The sequence below is a fragment of the Homo sapiens genome, chromosome 6 (genome assembly GCF_000001405.40).
Source record: "Homo sapiens chromosome 6, GRCh38.p14 Primary Assembly".
Lineage (NCBI taxonomy): Eukaryota > Metazoa > Chordata > Mammalia > Primates > Hominidae > Homo > Homo sapiens.
This window is the reverse complement of record NC_000006.12, coordinates 43558922-43578341: the sequence shown is the minus strand read 5'-3', so window position 1 is coordinate 43578341 and position 19420 is coordinate 43558922. Positions and strand designations below refer to the sequence as shown.

The 19420-nt window shown below is 43.9% G+C and overlaps 3 protein-coding genes across 6 annotated transcripts in view, besides 4 other annotated features; 1 reads left to right on the top strand and 2 right to left on the bottom strand.

Moving 5' to 3' along the window:
• POLH (DNA polymerase eta) overlaps positions 1-2157 on the bottom strand; it is a 44339-nt gene extending 42182 nt beyond the window's left edge. For all 3 annotated transcript variants that reach the window (NM_006502.3, NM_001291970.2, NM_001291969.2), the window contains exon 1: positions 1902-2157. The gene's annotated coding sequence lies outside the window, so the exon portion shown is untranslated. The remainder of the gene's footprint in view (positions 1-1901) is intronic.
• Positions 59-559: an enhancer, noted in NCBI's record as "H3K4me1 hESC enhancer chr6:43545520-43546020 (GRCh37/hg19 assembly coordinates)". NCBI's record gives its function as "activates a minimal SCP1, AML or CMV promoter by ChIP-STARR-seq in primed H9 embryonic stem cells {active_cell/tissue: H9 hESC(primed)}" and the evidence as "EXISTENCE:reporter gene assay evidence [ECO:0000049][PMID:30033119]".
• Positions 1888-2137: an enhancer, noted in NCBI's record as "active region_24604". NCBI's record gives its function as "activates an Ori minimal core promoter by ATAC-STARR-seq in GM12878 lymphoblastoid cells {active_cell/tissue: GM12878}" and the evidence as "EXISTENCE:reporter gene assay evidence [ECO:0000049][PMID:35858748]".
• Positions 2158-2357: a silencer, noted in NCBI's record as "silent region_17236". NCBI's record gives its function as "represses an Ori minimal core promoter by ATAC-STARR-seq in GM12878 lymphoblastoid cells {active_cell/tissue: GM12878}" and the evidence as "EXISTENCE:reporter gene assay evidence [ECO:0000049][PMID:35858748]".
• XPO5 (exportin 5) overlaps positions 2304-19420 on the top strand; it is a 53705-nt gene continuing 36588 nt past the window's right edge. For both annotated transcript variants that reach the window (NR_144392.2, NM_020750.3), the window contains exons 1-11: positions 2304-2582; positions 4741-4862; positions 5764-5836; positions 7348-7485; positions 7658-7840; positions 9605-9631; positions 10988-11173; positions 12606-12682; positions 15996-16095; positions 17335-17418; positions 18039-18164. Coding sequence is in view for 1 of the 2 variants with exons in the window: in NM_020750.3 (NP_065801.1) it covers positions 2478-2582; positions 4741-4862; positions 5764-5836; positions 7348-7485; positions 7658-7840; positions 9605-9631; positions 10988-11173; positions 12606-12682; positions 15996-16095; positions 17335-17418; positions 18039-18164 (1221 nt within the window). In the remaining variant the exon portion in view is untranslated. The remainder of the gene's footprint in view (positions 2583-4740; positions 4863-5763; positions 5837-7347; positions 7486-7657; positions 7841-9604; positions 9632-10987; positions 11174-12605; positions 12683-15995; positions 16096-17334; positions 17419-18038; positions 18165-19420) is intronic.
• Positions 6977-7026: an enhancer, noted in NCBI's record as "active region_24603". NCBI's record gives its function as "activates an Ori minimal core promoter by ATAC-STARR-seq in GM12878 lymphoblastoid cells {active_cell/tissue: GM12878}" and the evidence as "EXISTENCE:reporter gene assay evidence [ECO:0000049][PMID:35858748]".
• The window catches only part of POLR1C (RNA polymerase I and III subunit C), a 45319-nt gene continuing 41833 nt past the window's right edge, over positions 15935-19420 (bottom strand). The window contains exon 10 of the mRNA NM_001363658.2: positions 15935-16942. The gene's annotated coding sequence lies outside the window, so the exon portion shown is untranslated. The remainder of the gene's footprint in view (positions 16943-19420) is intronic.

Sequence of the window (19420 nt, the reverse complement as noted above, 5' to 3'; positions counted from 1 at the left end):
AGTCTCGGCTCACTGCAACCTACGCCTCCCGGGTTCAAGCGATTCTCCTGCCTCAGCCTCCTGAGTAGCTGGGATTACAGGCGCACGCCACCACGCCCGGCTAATTTTTGTATTTCGAGTAGAGACTGGGTTTCACCATGTTGGCCAGGCTAGTCTCTAACTCCTGACCTTAGGCGATCCACCCACCTCGGCCTCCCAAAGTGCTGGGATTACAGGCGTGAGCCATCGCGCTCGGCCTAGCATGGGGATTTTTTTTTTTCCTAGACAGAGTCTCCGTCTGTCACCCAGGCTGAAGTGCAGTGGTGAGATCTCAGCTCACTGCAACCTCCATCTCCCGGTTTCAAGTGATTCCTCTGCCTCATCCCCATTAGCTGGGACTACAGGCGCGTGCCACCCCGCCCGGCTAATTTTTTGTATTTTTAGTAGAGACGGGGTTTCACCGTGTTAGCCAGGATGGTCTCGATCTCCTGACCTCGTGATCCGCCCGCCTCGGCCTCCCAAAGTGCTGGGATTACAGGCGTGTGCCACCGCGCCAGGCCGGGGATTTTTAAAAGCTCTCCAGGTAATTCCAATATGCAGCAGTTTGGGAGCCAAGACCTAAATAAGACAATCGAAACACCAGCAATCCATGATTTAAATACGAGAAACACAGGTTATACAGTTGAGTGAGCACCCAACTGTATTCTAAAAAAAGTTTTTCAAAAACTAACATTCACCTTGAAAAAAAAAACGTCTTACAACTGCAAAGCAGGAAGGTGAGTGGAAAGAAAAATAATTAAAATCAGAGCAGTCAAAGCATTAATTCCTTATAAATTCCAATCGACCACGCCTAAAACAGGCAGAATGTGATACTTTAAACATTTACAAGTTAAAACTATAACATGCCAGAAGTCCCTCTACTTTGAAGTGGCTTTTCAGTAGTACTGGAACAGACTGAGCCAACAAATAGTATTGTAACACAAAAAAACACAGGCTAAGCACCATATTAGATCCAAATACCAGAAGTGGAGCAAGAATAGGAAGCAGTGATTTATGTTCAGCACACAATTTACTAAGCACACAATCACAAAAACAGACATGCAGACTTTAACAGATAATAAAGCTGTTGAGGTTTTCCGTTTATGTATTTACTGGAGAAAGCAAGAGCTTTATTTATTTATTTTTGAGACGGAGTTTCGCTCTGTCGCCCAGGCTGGAGTGCAAAGGCGCGATCTCGGCTCACTGAACCTCCGCCTCCCGGGTTCAAGCGATTCTCCCACCTCAGCCTCCCGAGTAGCTGGGATTACAGGCGCGCACCGCCACGCCTGTATAAAAATACTAAAAATGCAAACATAATTTTTGTATGTTTAGTAGAAACGGGGTTTCACCATGTTGGTGAGGCTGGTCTCGAACTCCTGACCTCAGGTGATCCGCCCGCCTCCGCCTCCCAAAGTGCTGGGATTACAGGCGTGAGCCACCGCGCCCGGCCAAGAGCTTTATAAAGATGGAAAATGAAGAAGACTTTCTGCCCAAGCCATGCTTTTGGATAAGGATTACACTACTTTGAAACCTTATACATAGCACTTGGCCAATTATCAAAACTGCACAAACCTTCACTGATTGCAATTATTCCCTTTAAACATCTCGAGTTACCCCAATCCGCACAAAACAAGTTTAGTGCCCACCAGGTAATAATACATCCAGGAAAGTAATTCCAAGAGAGAGGTTTAACAACTACAGGGAAAAACATACTTTTTTCTACAAGAAAAATCTTAGAAGACAGTACCAGGGCCTTATCCCTGTTAGCATGATTTATATTTCACGCAACCTTGGCCCAGTCACTGCTACATTATAAAACCAATAGCCAAGGCAACATAGAAAGTCTGAACACAGTGACAGCGAACGGTTCTAAATTTTCTTACCAAGGTAACAAACACCTGGCAAAACTGCCAGCAGCGGTTGCCGAAAATGCTGGGTTCGGTGCCTACTGGAAGGAAAATGGAAGGGCTCCTGAATATCTTTTCGCCTTTCTAGGAGCGGTCCAGTGAGTTTCGAGCGAGATTTATTCCCTGTGACGACGGAGAAACCGAGAAGGGATCGTAAAGGATCCTGCCCGGGCAACCGTCCCCAGCAGGGATCAGACGAGAGCGGCGCGCCCAGCAATGCAGCCGCCAGACTGAGGTCTGACAGCGCGCCCGCTGCGAAGGGCCGTTGACGCGGCTGCGCACCGCGGCCCTTCCGCCTCCCGCCCCGCCCACCTAGGCTCAACCTGCACACGGGAGCCGCCACTTCCGCGGGCGCGTGCGCAGTGGCGGGCCGGGCGCGTGCGCAGCGCCGGCTTCTTCCCAGCGCGAGTTGCTGCTAACGCTCCTCCTCCAGCTTCCCACCCCCGCCGCCCGCCGCGGCCCGGTACCAACGGGTGGTCTCGCCGAGGGAGCTGTCGTGCCTCGTGGTCCCGGGACTGCAGTGGTGTGCGCTCTCGGCGCGTGGCGCTAGGCATGGCGATGGATCAAGTAAACGCGCTGTGCGAGCAGCTGGTGAAAGCGGTGACGGTCATGATGGACCCCAACTCCACCCAGCGCTACCGGCTGGAAGCCCTCAAGGTAGCTGGGGTCCTGGCGTCCTGGGCCGGTCCCGACACCCTCTCCCAGCCCCAGCAGCTCCGGCGCCGCCTGTAACTGGGGTAGTCTCCCGCCCACGCGGCCCCTGGACCTCCTTTCCCAACTCCCCGGGACCTTCCCCTCGCGGCCCTCCGCGCCTCTCCCAAATCGCCGCCTTCTCTACTCGCCGCTCCTGTCCTTTGCCTGGGACACTCCGGTCCCTATGCTGCTTCTCATCTCGCCGCAGCTTCCCACAGCCCTCTCCTCCCCCTTTCCTCGCTTCTGTGCACTCTTGTCCGCAACATGACCCTCGCCCATTTTCATTCCCCAAGCCCGACATCCCCTCGCCTTCCCGAGGCGCACGTGTAGATCCCGCCCCCAACACCAGCTTCGTTCTTTATGGTCTCTCCTGCACTAAACGTTTTCCTGCTGGCCCACTCCCCTGGCCCTGACCGAGCTCCAGCCCCTCTGGTACCCTTATGCTTATATGCTTTAACATCTCGCTAACTTTCGTTTGTGTCTTGGACATTTTCCGGGGAAATTCTCGCACCCCTACTTCTCCCATGTTTTTGAGTGTAATATTTTTAGGCTATTTTGCGCAAAGATAACTTCTACCACTTACTTTGCATTTTAACAAGGGCACTTTGGTTTCCTGAAAGTAGTTTGCGTGAGACCCGAATGCTCTGCTCTTGGGACTGACTTATGTTGCAGTTTGGGGGTGTTAATACAATTCAAGCTTACTTGCCCATAAAACAACGTGTGTGGGCTGTGAGAAATGGCCATTTAGGAGAAAATACTTGTGCTGTACATTTTTAAAGTGATGTTAACTTCAAAAAAGAGAGTGACCACCACTTGGAGGAAATGTTACAATATGTAGATGTCTGCCACAGGGTTTGGAATCAGAAACAATTGGGTTCCATTAGTTTGGTTTTTATTATTAATATTTAAAATAGACACAAAAGTGGAGAGAATACGACAGTGATTCTGCATGTTCCTGTCACCTAAATTCAGCAATCAAAGATTTTACCGCATTTACTTTTTCCACCGCCTATCCTCTCTCCCTGCCTCGAAGGTTTTTAAAAGAAACCCTAGAAATTGTTATTTCACCCCTATGTACGTCAGGGGGATGTCTCTAACAAATAATTTCTTATTCCTTTGTGTCCATTTTTTTCCAACACTAGTAGGGCTACTGTTGGCCGTAGCATGGAAAAAATCTGGAACCATCACGCTGGAAGGAATGTTTATCAGTTCTTTATTCATAATATATATATAATATATACACATAAAATAGAGTGAACACCACTTGGAGGAAATGTTATATATGTGTAACTTTTATATATTTTATATTTTTATTTTTATATTAAATATATATTTTTAAAGCAACTGTGCTTGGAGATCCACATAATATTGATCTAGGTTTTGCAACTTTAAACATATAGCTTAGGTTGGAGTTTCTTTTTGAGTAGGGTCTCACTCTGGTTGTCCAGGCTGGCGTGCAGTGGTGAGATCTCGGCTCACTTCAGCCTTGATTTCTCGAGCTCAAGTGATTCTCCTACCACTTCAGCCTCCTGAGTAGCTGGGATTACAGGCACCTGCCACCATGCCCGGCTAATTTAAAAAAATATTTTTAGTGGGCCGGGCACAGTGGCTCACGCCTGTAATCCCAGCACTTTGGGAGGCCAAGGCAGGTGGGTCACCTGAGGTCAGGAGTTCAAGACCAGCCTGGTCAACATGATGAAACCTTGTTTCTACTAAAAATACAAAAATTAGCTGGGTGTGGTGGCGTGCACTTGTAGTCCCAGCTACATGGGCTCAGGAGGCTGAGGCAGGAGAACTGCTTGAACCTGGGAAGCAGAGGTTGCAGTGAGCCGAGATCATGCCATTGCATTCCAGCCTGGGCGACAGAGTGAGACTCCGTCTCAAAAAAAAAAAAAAAAAATATATATATATATATATATTTAATAGAGATGGGGTTTCGCCATGTTGCCTAGGCTAGTCTCAGACTCCTAGACTCAAGTAGTCCACCCATCTCAGCCTCCCAGAGTGCTGGGACAGGTGTGAGCCACCGCACCCGGCCCTGGTTGGAGTTTCTTAAGATGAAATTCTTTTAGTCCCTATTCTCTCAGCCCTCGAAAGGAAACACTAACTTTTCTTCTTTCAGTTTTGTGAGGAGTTTAAAGAAAAGTGTCCTATCTGTGTCCCCTGTGGCTTGAGGTTGGCTGAGAAAACACAAGTTGCCATCGTCAGACATTTTGGCCTTCAGATCCTGGAACACGTTGTCAAGTAAGGAGCTCTTGGACATTACCACTGAAGTCTGAGAGAACAGATCTTTATATCTTATATAACCTATAGAGATGCTGTTTAGGTGAGTAGAGAAGAGCAATCTCCAAGAAGAGAGGAATGATCCCCTAGATGTTATCAGAACCTCACAGGAGCTCTCATTCAAGATTTAACCTTTCTTTTCTTCAGTTTCTTCATCCATGTAAAGTGTGTGGTACATATTACCCATTCAACAAATATTACCTGCCATTTAGCCAATACTTACTGAGCTCTGACTATATGTCATTAGCCCTCGAAGCCTTTTTAGAGTAATGCAATGTATAGGTCAATGAATCTCTGATTAGGCACTGTGGCTTTCTTTTTTCTCTCTGTCTTTCTGAGTTTGTGTGCCTTCTCTGGGTGGTACATCCAAAGCAGGATTGTATGAGAATAACTGAAAACCCATCCTAACTTGATTGTCCTACCCTCAACACCTATCAGAAGAGGTAGCCTTTAAGACTTAGCCATAGTTTTTCCAGAATTGTTTTGTAAGCCAGCACAGAAAATGACTGATGTCAAAACTGCATTTTCTGAAAAGCAAGTACATTGTTGCAGTTGACCTAGATGTATATTCACTTTTGGCCCATCAATAAAATCATGAGGCAAAGCTGACGTGTGGTACAAATCTTGTGCGGATTCCAGTTAATGGACCACTGCATATATAAAACCTTTTCCCAAGAATTTTTGTGTTAGTATTTTGGTTAAATGTAGATCATTTTTGCCCATTCATTGACAGGTACAAAATCAAAAGTATAATTTCTTAATGAAATCTCCAGTGTAATCAAATGTAGAAATCCATGCTATTCTCTTGTAAAGACAAGACTTCTAAAGTGGTTCTATTGACTTTATGCATTTTGGTGGTCAGGTTTCGGTGGAACGGCATGTCTCGATTGGAGAAGGTGTATCTGAAGAACAGTGTCATGGAGCTGATTGCAAATGTAAGGAATGGGTGGTTGGGAGACATGTTTCCAAGGTAGTTTAGGCAAAGCGTGACTTCTTCAATAGGGAGTTTGTGTAAAAATTCACTGCTTCTAAATAGGTCAGACAGCACAAGAAATCATAATTTAGGCCAGGCACAGTGACTCACACCTGTAATTCTAGCGCTTTGGGAAGCCAAGGTAAGAGGATCACCTGCATCTAAGAATTCGAGAGCAGCTTGGGCAATGCAGTGAGACCCCATCTCTACCAAAAATGCAAAAATTAGCTGAGCGTGGTGGCGCATGCCTGTGGCCCAGCTACTCAGGAGGCTGAGGTGGGAGGATTTTCTGAGCCCAGGAGGTCCAGGCTGCAGTGAGCTGTGATGGTGCCATGGCACTCCAGCCTGTGCAACAGAGCAAGACCCTATCTCAAAAACAAAACAAAACAAAAGCAGAAAGCATAATTCAGCATATGTCTCTTACTAGGTTTAATTAATCATGCTTATGTATTGACTTCTATTTTTTAAATTATAAAGACAGGGCAGAGGGGATTAAATATTTTCAACAAATCAATAAGATTCTTAGATCTAAATTAGATTGAAACACTATTTTCTTTTATTCCAAACAACTACTATGTGATACTAATGATGAAAAACATGCAGAATTTTAAGTATGCAGAATGAATTTGTTTCAAGTATTAGAATATGACTTTTTTTTTTTTTTGAGACAGAGTCTCTGTTGCTCCGGCTGGATTGCATTAGCATGATCATAGCTCACTGCAGCCTCGAACTCCTGGGCTCAAGTGATCTTCTCGCCTTAGCCTCCCAAGTAGCTGGGATTATAGGCATGTGGTACCATGCCCAGCTAATTTTGTTTTTGGTTTTTAGAGAGACAGGGTCTCACTGTGTTTCCCAGGCTAGTCTGGTCTCAAACCCCTGGCCTCAAGCAATCCTCCCACCTTGGCTTTCCAAAATGCTGAGATTACAGGTGTGATGACTGGATGACTGTCTCTTTAAACACAAAACAGAATATGACTTTAAACATGTTCAAAATTGTAGCCTTTTTTCTTTCTTGGTTTTTTTTAAATAACAGACATGAGAGATGGGATCTTCTAATACTTCTGCGTCTTCTAGTGTTAGAACTATTGGTAAAATATTCATTTGCCCCTTCATACCCTTCCATTTTACCAGCTACTCACTATACTCCTTATTTCTATACTCTTCCTCCCTGGCCTTCTGCAAACTGAAACAATCAATATGAGAATCTTTTCATTTTGTAAAGAATAATGATGTCATCCTAGCTCTCGATATGACAGCCTTTTAGGTGATGCAACCCTCACTTAAGCTTTAAGCGGAAGAGTGATTAGCAAGAATGCAGGACAAGTGACTCAGGCTGAAGAACAGGTTCATTTGTTCTGTTTGGTTTAAAAGTAGGCCTGCTGATAAATTTTTTACAACTCTACAGCCCAGCTTTTTTCTGGAAGTCTGGAATCCAGTCTTGCATATCTCTTAATATCTCTTGTTCTTTTTCAGGGAACATTGAACATTTTGGAAGAGGAGAACCATATTAAAGATGCTCTGTCTCGAATTGTAGTGGAAATGATCAAGCGAGAGTGGCCACAGCATTGGCCTGACATGCTAATAGAATTGGACACTCTTTCCAAACAAGGGGTATGAAACACAGCTATATCAGTTTGGTATACTTTTCCTTGGAACAAACTTCAGGGTTTGTTGTTTGATTTTGTTTGTGGGTTTTTTTTTTTGGCAACAGAAAATAGCCTTTGGATATACATAAAATGAAAAGATATTTTAGTTTTTAACTAGCTTATTTCTATTGGTGTAGGAAACACAGACAGAATTGGTGATGTTTATCCTTTTGCGACTGGCAGAGGATGTAGTGACTTTTCAGACACTTCCCCCTCAAAGAAGAAGGGACATCCAGCAAACATTAACCCAGAACATGGAAAGGATCTTCAGTTTTCTGCTTAACACACTTCAAGAAAATGTAAACAAGTATCAGCAAGTGGTAAGGGATACCCCTACCTATAACATTTCTATTTTCCAATATGAGTGTTTTTGATTAATCTTACAGTAAGGAACTAGGGTGTCTAGGTCAGCAAAATGAAATCCTATTTTATAAGCAAAAAAATAAAAAACTAGGAAATGACAGAAAAACTGGAGCTCATTTTCTTTCTTTTTTTTTTTTTTTTTTTTTTGAGACGGAGGCTCGCTCTGTCACCTAGGCTGGAGTGCAGTGGTGTGATCCCGGCTCACTGCAACCTCTGCCTCCCAGGTTCAAGCGATTCTCCTGCCTCAACCTCCCAAGTAGCTGGGACTACAGGCGCCCGCCACCAGGCCCGGCTGATTTTTTGTATTTCTAGTAGAGACGGGGTTTCACTATGTTAGCCAGGAAGGTCTTGATCTCCTGACCTCATGATCCGCCCGCCTCCCAAAGTGCTGGGATTATAGGTGTGAGCCACGGCACCTGGCCTTTTTTAAAAAAAAAAAAAAAAAAAAAAAAAAAGATAGGGATCTCGGCTTACTGCAGCCTCCACCTCCTGGGATTACAGGCATGTGCCACCACACCTGGCTAATTTTTGTATTTTTAGTAGAGATGGAGTTTCGCTGTGTTAGCAAGGCTAGTCTCAAACTCCTGACCTCAGGTGGTCTACCCACCTTGCTCTCCCAAAGTGCTGAGATTATAGGTGTGAGCCACCGAGCCCAGCCCTAGGTGTTATTCTTAATTTTATTTTCAGAAGTTCTTTAGGAAAATACTAATTTTTTTTTTTTTTTTGGAGAGGGAGTCTCACTCTGTCACCCATGCTGGAGTGCAGTGGCACAATCTCGGCTCACTGCAACCTCCGCCTCCTGGGTTCAAGCGATTCTCCTGCCTCAGCCTCCCGGGTAGCTGAGATTACCGGTGCCTGCCACCATGCCCGTCTAATTTTTGTATTTTAGTAGAGATGGTGTTTCACCATGTTGGTCAGGCTGGTCTTGAACTCCTGACCTCAAATAATCCGCCTGCCTTGGTCTTCCAAAGTGCTGGGATGGTAGGCGTGAGCCACCGCGCCTGGCCTAATTTTGTATGCTTGTAAGTTAACATTATGTGCCTTTGTATGGATTTGAAATATAAGGATAAAAATCAACCATATTTGTATATTCACTGAATAGCCACTATTCTGATGTATTTAACATCATATATATATGTATTTTTTTTTGTTGTTTTTTTTTTTTTGAGACGGAGTTTCACTTTTGTTGCCCAGGCTGGAGTGCAGTAGTGCAATCTTGGTTCACTGCAACCTCTGCCTCCCGGGTTCGAGTGATTCTTCTGCCTCAGCTTCCCAAGTAGCTGGGATTACAGGCATGCGCCAGCACACCGGCTAATTTTTGTAATTTTAGTAGAGATGGGGTTTCACCATGTTGGCCAGACTGGTCTCAAACTCCTGACCTCAGGTGATCCACCTGCCTTGGCCTCCCAGACTGCTGGGATTACAGGCGTGAGCCACCACGCCTGGCCAACATCCAGTATTTTTGAGTACATGGTTTTCATATACTTAGGCTATACATACATGTTCATGAATTGTATTCATTTAATTATGCTTCTGACTTTACTTGTTCTCCCTAGGGGAATATCAGTTATGCGTGCTTAGTAAAGTTGTGTTATTTTCCAAGATGAAAAATTGCATATATTTAAGAATCATTATTCAAGGGCATTGATTTGTGGGGGGTAGAAAGTTATTATGTGGCCTTTTGCTCATTAAAAACACTGGATCTTTATACTTCCTTTCAGAAGACAGATACTTCTCAGGAGTCAAAGGTAAGAGCTCTTTATAAAGTTTGAAGGAGACCTTTGAACCTTTCAGGTGAGGGGATACGTGCCCCTAGTGGATGGTGACCTCAGCCTTGCTTGTGTTGTATTGTTTTGGAGACAGGTCTTACTGTTGCCCAGGCTGGAGTGCAGTTGTGTGGTCTCAGCTCACTGCAGCCATGACCTCCCCAGCTCAAGTGATCCTCTCACCTCAACTTCATGAGTAGCTGGGAATATAGGTGCGCACCACCATGCCCAGCTAATACTTTCTATAGAAACAGGGTCTCAGTGTGTTGCCTAGGCCGGTGTCAAACCCCTGGCTTCAAGTGATCCTCCAGCCTCGACCTCCTGAAGTGACTGTGGGCCACTGCATCTGTCGTTTGTTTTTTTTGTTTGTTTTTGTTTTTGTTTTTGAGACGGAGTCTCGCTCACTTGCCCAGGCTGGAGTGCAGTGGCGCGATCTCGGCTCACTGCAAGCTCTGCCTCCTGGGTTCACGCCATTCTCCTGCCTGGCCTCCCGAGTAGCTGGGACTACAGGTGCCCGCCACCACACCCAGCTAATTTTTTGTATTTTTAGTAGAGACGGGGTTTCACCATGTTAGCCAGGATAGTCTCAATCTCCTGACCTCATCATCCGCCCTCCTCAGCTTCCCAAAGTGCTGGGATTACAGGTGTGAGCCACCATGCCCAGCCTGTCCTTTGTTCTGTTTTTGATCACTGAGCTATGGTTGAAGGGAAGTAAAAAAAAAAAACAAAAACAGACTTACTTTTTTTTTTTTTTTTTGACACAGGGTCTTACTTTGTCACCCAGGCTAGAGTACAGTGACGCAAACGTGGCTCACTGCAGCTTCAGCCTCCAGGCTTCAAGTGAGCCTTACCTCAACCTCATGAGTAGCTGGGACTATAGATGCACACCATCATGCCTGGCTAATTTTTGTATTTTTTTGGTTAGGGTATTTTTTTTATTTTATTTTATTTTTTGTTTTTTTGGTAGACACTAGTTTTGCCATGTTGCCCAGGCTGTTGTTTTAACTCCTGGGCTCAGTTGATTCACCCACCTTGGCCTCCCAAAGTGCTGGTATTGCAGGTGTGTGCCACTGCACCCAGCCTTGGGAAGTAAAATGATAAGATTTGGGGTTTTGTGAAAAAGATAAAATGGCCACACATGCCAGTATGGTCTTGTTGTTGGATGTTGAGAATGTCATTGTTTGAGAAGTGATTGTGTTCCCTACCTGTGACTGTTACATGAGTATATTCTTAAAAAATAATTTTCTTAGAATTAGAAAATGGGAGTTCAGTTATAACCACTGATTCCTTACCTGTTACCGAGGACTTCATGGTCCAAAGTTACTTCTTTTCTGGTAGGCGCAAGCAAACTGTCGAGTAGGAGTTGCAGCACTGAATACTCTAGCAGGCTATATTGACTGGGTGTCTATGAGTCACATCACTGCTGAAAACTGTAAACTCCTGGAGATACTGTGTTTGCTGTTGAATGAACAGGAACTTCAGTTGGGAGCCGCTGAGTGTCTTCTCATTGCAGTCAGCAGAAAAGTAAGTTACCACTTCAAACTGACTTATCCTCAGTCTCTGAAGTAGGCTGTGTATGTGTTTAATTGCATGTTGTGGCAGAAAGTCATTTAAAGGTTTGGGTTTTTTTCCTTGGGGCCAACTTACTGCCTGCTTCCAACCCCCTTGGACAGGAGTTTGCCAATATTCAAGGGATCCTTTGGCAGAATGTGGAGATTTATCAGGCTGCATGGTTCTTGAAATAGCCATGATACTTGGCAATTTACAGTTAACAGATAAAAGTAAATGTTTAAGTTTAAAGCTCACTTAATGAATGTCAAGGAATCTTGGATGGTGGCTACAGTAGGTTTATATCTGTCTTTTTTTTTTTTTTTTTTTTTTAATTGAAACAGTCTTGCTCTGTCACCCAGGCTGGAGTGCAGTGGCGTGATGTTGGCTCACTGCAACGTCCGCCTTCCGGGTTCAAGCGATTCTCCTGCCTCAGCTTCCCGAGTAGCTAGGACTATAGGCACACGCCACCATGCCCGACTGATTTTTGTATTTTTTAGTAGAGATGAGGTTTTGCCATGTTAGCCAGGCTCTTCTCGAACTCCTGAGCTCAAGTGATCTGCCCTCCTCAGCCTCCTAAAGTGCTGGGATTACAGGCGTGAGCCACTGCGCCAAGCCTATGTCTGTCTTGGCTAACCAATGGAACTGTGACTCTTTTCTCCATAGGAATATTATCTACAAATGTAATTTACTTTGCTGTCATATCAGCATTATTGCCCAACACATTTATTTATTTATTTATTTATTTTTTGAGATGGAGTCTCGTTCTGTTGTCTAGGCTGGAGTGCAGTGGCGCAATCTCAGCTCAGTGCAACCTCTGCCTCCCGGGTTCAAGCAATTCTCCTGCCTCAGCCTCCTGAGTATCTGGGATTACAGGCGTGTGCCACCACACCCAGCTAATTTTTGTATTTTTTAGTAGAGATGGGGTTTCACTATGTTGGCCAGGCTGGTCTCGAACTTTTGACCTCAAGTGATCCACCTGCTTTGACCTCCCAAAGTGCTAGGATTACAGGTGTGAGCCACGGCACCTGGCCTAATTTTTGTATTTTTAGTAGAGACAGGGTTTCACCATGTTGACCAGGCTGGTCTCGAACTCCTGATCTCAGTTGTTCCGCCTGCCTCGTCCTCCCAAAGTGCTGGGATTACAGGCATGAGCCACCGCACTCGGCCTGCCGAACACATTTAAAAATGTAAGTTTATGCTTTTTCACTAAACTGATAGTTTTGAGAAAAAATATGTAGTTTATCCAGATTTGGTTTTAAAGAGTTGGGCTTCTTTCTAGTGTTTCACTAAACCCTGGGGTATATAAGAAATTATGAAGTCAATATATTTGATTATATACTTACAGAAGATGTCGGTACTTTGAAGTATAGTTTATATGACTATGTTTCCCTAAAATTGGGTCTAGGGCAAGTTGGAAGACCGGAAGCCCTTGATGGTCTTATTTGGAGATGTTGCCATGCATTATATACTCTCCGCCGCACAGTGAGTATCTTTACTTTTCAGTGTGTTTTCTAATTTCTTTGTCATTTTTCTATCTTATTTGGATTTATCTGAAGTTCTTTTTTTTTTTTTTATTTTGAGATGGATCTCGCTCTGTCACCCAGGCTGGAGTGCAGTGGCGCGATCTTGGCTCACCACAACCTCCGTCTCCTGGGATCAAGCGATTCTCCTGCCTCAGCCTCCCGAGTAGCTGGGATTACAGGCGCACCACCATGCCTGGCTAATTTTTCTATTTTTAGTAGAGACAGGGTTTTGCCGTGCTGACCGCTCTGGTCTCAAACTCTTGACCTCAGGTGGTCTACCTGCCTCAGCCTCCCAAAGTGCTGGGATTACAGGAGTGAGCCCCTGTGCCCACCTGAAGTTCTTACTTAAATGCTAGCTGTCAATCGACAGTGTTTTTGGATAAGAAAATGAGGCATTGGCCAGATGTGGTGGCTCACACCTGTAATTCCAGCACTTTGGGAGTCCAAGGCAAGTGGATCACTTGAGGCCAGGAGTTTGAGACCAGCCTGGCCAACACGGTGAAACCCCATCTCTACTAAAATACAAAAATTAGCCAGACCTGGTGGCGCACGCCTGTAATCCCAGCTACTCAGGAGGCTGAGGCAGGAGAGTATCTTGAACCTGGGAGGCAGAGGTTGCTGTGAGCTGAGATCACACCACTCTACTCCAGACTGGGCAACAAAGTGAGACTCTGTCTCAAAAAAAAAAAAAAAAGAGAGAAAATGAGGCAGTCATGGCTGAATGTGCTAGCTAACATTTGTAACCTCAGCACCTGGGGAGGCCAAGGCGGGAGGATTGATTGAGTCAGGAGTTTGAGACCAACCTGAGCAACATGGCAAGAGTCCATCTCTACAAAAAAATACAGAAATTAGTCGGGTGTGGTGGTATGTGTACTTGTAGTCCCAGCTACTCAGAAGGCTGAGGTGGGAGGGTCACTAGAGCTGGGAAGTCCAGGCAATCGTGAACCATGATCATGCCACTACACTCCAGCCTGGGCAACAGACTGAGACCTTGTCTCAAAAAAATAGTTTTTAAAAGTTTATAAAGTTAAAAAGTTACAGTAAGCTAAAGTTAATTCATTATTGAAGAAAGGAAGTTTTTTTTTTTTTGAGATGGAGTTTCGCTCTTATTGCCCAGGCTGGGGTGCAATGATGCGATCTCAGCTCACTGCAACCTCTGCCTCCCGGGTTCAAGCGATTCTCCTGCCTCACCCTCCCAGGAAGCTGGGATTACAGGCATGCACCACCATGGCCAGCTAATTTTGTATTTTTAGTAGAAACAGGGTTTCTCCCTGTTGGTCAGGCTGGTCTTGAATTCCTGATCTCAGGTGATCCACCCACCTCAGCCTCCCAAAGTACTGGGATTATAGGCATGAGCCACCGTGCCCGGCTGGAAAATTTTTTAAATAAATTTAGCGGGCCAGGTACGCTGGGTCATGCTTGTGATCACAGCACTTTAGGAGGCCAAGGCAGATGGACCACCTGAGGTCAGGAGTTCAAGACCAGCCTGGCCAACATGGTGAAACCCCATCTCTACTAAAAGTACAAAAATTAGCCGGGCGTGGTGGTGCATGTGTGTATTCTTAGCTACTTGGGAGGCTGAGGCAGGAGATCGCTTGAACCTGGGAGGCGAAAGTTGCAGTGAGCCAGGATTGTGCCCCTGCACTCCAGCTTAGGCAACAGAGTGAGACTCCATCTCTAAATAAATAAATAAGTTTAGTTTAGCCTAAGGGTACAGAATTTATAAAGTCTACAGTAGGGTCCAGTAATGTCCTAGGCTTCCACATTCACTCACCACTCACTCTGGACCCACCCAGTACAGTTTTCTGTCCTGCAGTCATTCATGGTAAGTGCCTTCTACAGGTATACCATCTTTTATCATTTATACCATATTTTTACTGTACCTTTTCTGTATTTAGATACACAAATACTTACCATTGTGTTACAGTTGCCTGCAGTATTGGCTACGGTAACATGCTATAGAGGTTTGTAGCCTAGGAGCAATAGGCTATGCTATATAGCCTAGATGTGTAATAGGCTATTCCTGTTGTGTAAGTTTGTGTAAGTACACTCTATCATGTTCAAATGGTGATAAAATCACTTAACGATGCATTTCTCAGTACACATCCCCAGTCGTTAAGTGATGCATGACTGTAAGGGCTTCCATGTACTTTCTTCCAGTTGCTCTAGAAAATACTAAAGCAAGGCCGGGCCCAATGGCTCATGCCTGTAATCCCCATATTTTGGGAGGCCAAGCCGTGAAGATTGCTTGGACCCAGAAGTTCAAGACCAGTCTGGGCAACATGGCAAGACCTCATCCCTACAAAAAATCAAAATGAAAATAAATTAGCTGCGTATGGTGGCATGCGCTTTATAGTCCCAGCTACTTGGGAGGCTGCAGTGAGAGGATCCCTTGAAGCCCATTAGTTTGAGGCTTCAGTGAGCCATATTTGAGCCACTGTACTCCAGCCTAGGTGTGACAGCGAGATCGTGTCTCAAAAAAAAAGAAAAAATATTAAAGCATTTCTTGATAACATGTTTCTTACCAGGAAGTCAGGCAGAACTATATATTATAAGTAGTTGAATCTGTTGCAACACCATCTTTTTGATACTCTTTACTTTTGGTCCCAAGGAGAAATGAAAAGGTATGAGGCACATGTGTTTTACTTAAAATCTCTTACTACCCATTCTAATACACATTTTTCATGGCTTCCTTCCCTGTAGAGACTGCAGCACTGTTTTAAGGGATCCTGTTAATTAAATGAATAACGTTTTTTGGGTAGTTACTATTTTTAGGTCCAATTCTTAGTTCCATAGACATCATGACACTCATACTAAGTGGTGTCCCGTTTCTGTTTGTGCTGTGGGTGCCATACCACAACCATGGTTCATAAAGCGGTGATTCCAACCCAGGTAGTCAAACTCCAGAGATTGCATTGGACACCATAATACCATCCTGTCCTTCAATGTTCCTAAAGCCTAGGCCTCGTTTACCCCAAGGTCCTTGCCTTTTATGTGATACTGTCCTCCTCCAGAAGACAGCTAATATAGTTGCTTTTCACACTCATAGTTATTAATTGCTGTTTGTGTGAATAGTCCTATATCATTTTAGGTCAGGTTTTGCCACCAAATAAGTTAAAAAGATTTTAAAAAATTTTTAATTTAGCAAAGCTATTGGAATTCTGCTGAATTACAGACCTAACTAAATGACTTGGAGAAATGAGACACAAAGTGATGTTTTTATTACAGCCTTTTTAATTTTGTTGGTGATATAAGGAATTCTCATCTTACAGGACTGCTGATGGAGGAGGTTTGGTAGAAAAACACTACGTCTTTCTGAAGAGGCTCTGTCAGGTGTTGTGTGCGCTGGGCAATCAGCTGTGTGCATTGCTGGTGAGCTAGTGTTTGCTTTCTGGAGAGCTTCAAGCCCATTTGGGAAGAGCATTTAGAAACTTATGTTTCAATGAGGGGTTGCAAATGTCATTGATTTTAGCCTGATGGGGCAGTGCCATACAAGTTATTGCATGATTCTATAGATTAAATTATCTTAATAGAATAGTGTTTGAGTGATCTAAATTTCTTTTAACAATAAAATAGTTATACCAACGTCAGATATCCACGTCTATTATTCCATAAAGTCAACGTTGGTTTCTTGTGAATTTTGGTACTTACAGAACCTCAATCTGCTGAGTGCTTTATGCTTTTACATTCTGTTAGCCCACGAAACATGGACTTGAATAAAGAACTCTTTTCCCAATCTAAGGGATGTATTATTGGAGCACAAAAGAAAACTTGAGTCTGATTGACCTGGAAAACCTGCCATTAGAGAAATATTTAATACTCAGTCTTATAAGTTGGAAGATAGGACATTGGAACAGACATTTGCAATTGATGTTATATCTTTTTGTGGTGGTTTAAATGGTTAGAGAGGATAGTTTCAGAGATAAGCAACCATTGAGGGGGCCAGGTGCAATGGCTCATGCCTGTAATCCCAGCATTTTGGGAGGGTGAGGTGGGCAGATCACCTGAGGTCAAGAGTTTGAGACTAGCCTGGCCAACATGGTGAAACCCTGTCTCTACTAAAAATACAAAAATTAGCCAGGCGTGGTGGTGCATGCCTGTTATCCCAGCTACTCGAGAGGCTGAGGCAGGAGAATTGCTTGAACCCTGGAGGTAGAGGTTGCAGTGAGCCGAGATCGTGCCACTGCTCTCCAGCCTGAGCAACAGAGTGAGACTCCATCTAAAAGAAAAAAAAAAGAAAAGAAACTATTGAAGGGATTAGGTAATAGGTTGGGACACAGAGATGTGAATAGGTAAGGTCTGAGGAAGTAATACAGATTTTTTTTCTTTCTGTAATTTCTGAAATGAGTGTTTTTTATTTTACTGTTTGACCACAGAATGGGTTTTAATGATGATGATTGAGTAGGCAAAGTAATGATGATGATTGAGTAGGCAAAGTAACCTATATTTTAGCCCTTGAAGTGATGCCTTTCTTTAGCCAAAAGGAAATACAAAGTCCTTTTGAAACAACATTTTTTGAGGGTTTAATTTATCTGTTTTTATTACTTCCCTGCTTTTTCCTCTCCTGCTTTTCTCGATCAACACCGTTAATATAGTGGTCTTCTCCTACAGGGTGCAGATTCTGATGTAGAAACACCATCAAACTTTGGAAAATACCTGGAATCTTTTCTTGCTTTCACAACCCATCCAAGTCAGGTAAACTTTATACAGGTAACTTCTCAAAAGTTTAGTTAGGTGAACCAATGTCAAGCACTGTGTCCTGAAATATTATTGTAGATCATGTATAAAATGTGACTCTTCAGGCCTTGGGGAATGACCGTAGTGTCATTTCATTAAGAGAATTATTGGCTCTTCTTCCTGAGCCAAACAGTGCACTTGTCTAGGTCAGCAGCTTTTCCCTTTAGGTAATATTCTGATTGTACTCAGTCACATGTGAGGTGTGTCCCAGGTGGTTTAGTACTAAAGTTATAAAGATTTTTGAAACAAAAGTCTGATTAATTGTATTATAAAATTAATTTCACTCTGTTCAAAATTGTCCTTCTAATATCACTCTGAGATTCCAGTATCCTTTTTTGCAAAGAAGAGAAAGTAGTAAAATTCAGCTCACATTCCAGGTAATTTCCTTGATCCACAGCCTGTCTTACTAACATGTGGTCCATAGTGGGTGGTCATTACTGATAAATTGCAGTAGAGACAGCTTCAAAGTATTGTACAGATTTATTTCTATGAAAAAATGTAGTTGATAACTGCTAAGTAATAATCTGGGTTATATAGAATCCAAATCCTTTGACGTTTTCTTTTTTTTTTCTCTTTAGTTTCTACGCTCTTCAACTCAGATGACTTGGGGAGCCCTCTTCAGGCATGAAATCCTGTCCCGTGATCCTTTGCTATTAGCAATAATACCAAAATATCTTCGTGCTTCCATGACTAACTTGGTCAAGGTATATAATGGGAATCTAAACATGTGGAATGTAGGTGAATACACATAATAAGACTTTGAGGCTGGGTGCGGTGGCTCACGCCTATAATCCCAGCTCTATGGAAGGCTGAGGCGGGAGGATCGCTTGAGCCCAGGAGTTGGAGACCAGCCTGTGCGACATGGCAAAACCTCGTCTCTACTAAAAATACAAAAAAATTAGCAGGGCATGTTGGTATGCACCTGTAGACCCAGCTACTGGGGAGGCTTAAGGTGGGAGGATCACCTGAGCTTGGGAAGTTGAAGCTGCATTGAGCTGAGATCGCAGCACTGCACTCCAGCCTAGGCAATGAGAGTGAGACCCTGTCTCGGGGGAAACATAAAAAAGACTGATTGGCATTATTAACAGCCCTTCTTCATCACTAAGATTCCTTTACTGGACATATTTTCTTATTCCTTAGGAAGAAATCAGTCCTTACTGGTTATTATAACTGCTCTTCCATATGAGAGTACTTAATATATCATAAGTATTGGGCTAGGTGCTAGGGCAAGAGCAGTGACCATACAATGTAATAATTGCTATTCAGGGGTTAAAAGCAGAATGCTTTGGAAGTACATAGGAGGGTTGAGTCAGGAAGATTCCAAGAGGAGGCAATATCTAAGCATTGCTTCTGGAGGCCAAGTGAGAGTTACAAAGGGAAATGAGGGGAGTGAGAGTGGAAGCAAAGATTGCTCACTACCTCAGTAGAGAGTTGCTCATGAATTCCCTGCTAAGAGCTCTTGCAGTTGACAGATTGTTAATCTCAATTTGTAACATCAGAGAATGGTGCACATTCAAGGGTCCCCTTATTTTCTTAAGGAATTTGCCTAGCACATAGCACACACTGGTGTTCTGTGTTTTTTTTTGAGACGGAGTCTCACCCTGTCACCGAGGCTGGAGTGCAGTGGCACGATCTTGGCTCACTGCAACCTCTGCCTCCTGGGTTCAAGCAATTCTCCTGCCTCAGCCTCCCAAGTAGCTGGGACTACAGGTGCCCACCACCACACTTGGCTAATTTTTTGTATTTTAGTAGAGACAGGGTTTTACTGTTTTTCCCAGGCTGGTCTCAAACTCCTGAGCTCAGGCAATCCACCCGCCTCGGCCTCCCAAAGTGCTGGGATTACAGGCGTGAGCCACCGCACCCGGCCACACTGTGTTCTTATTTTCTGCCATGGTCTTCAATTCTTTTCTGAATGAAACATACAAAGTTCTACAAGTTTATTCTCAGTGTTCAGTATTTG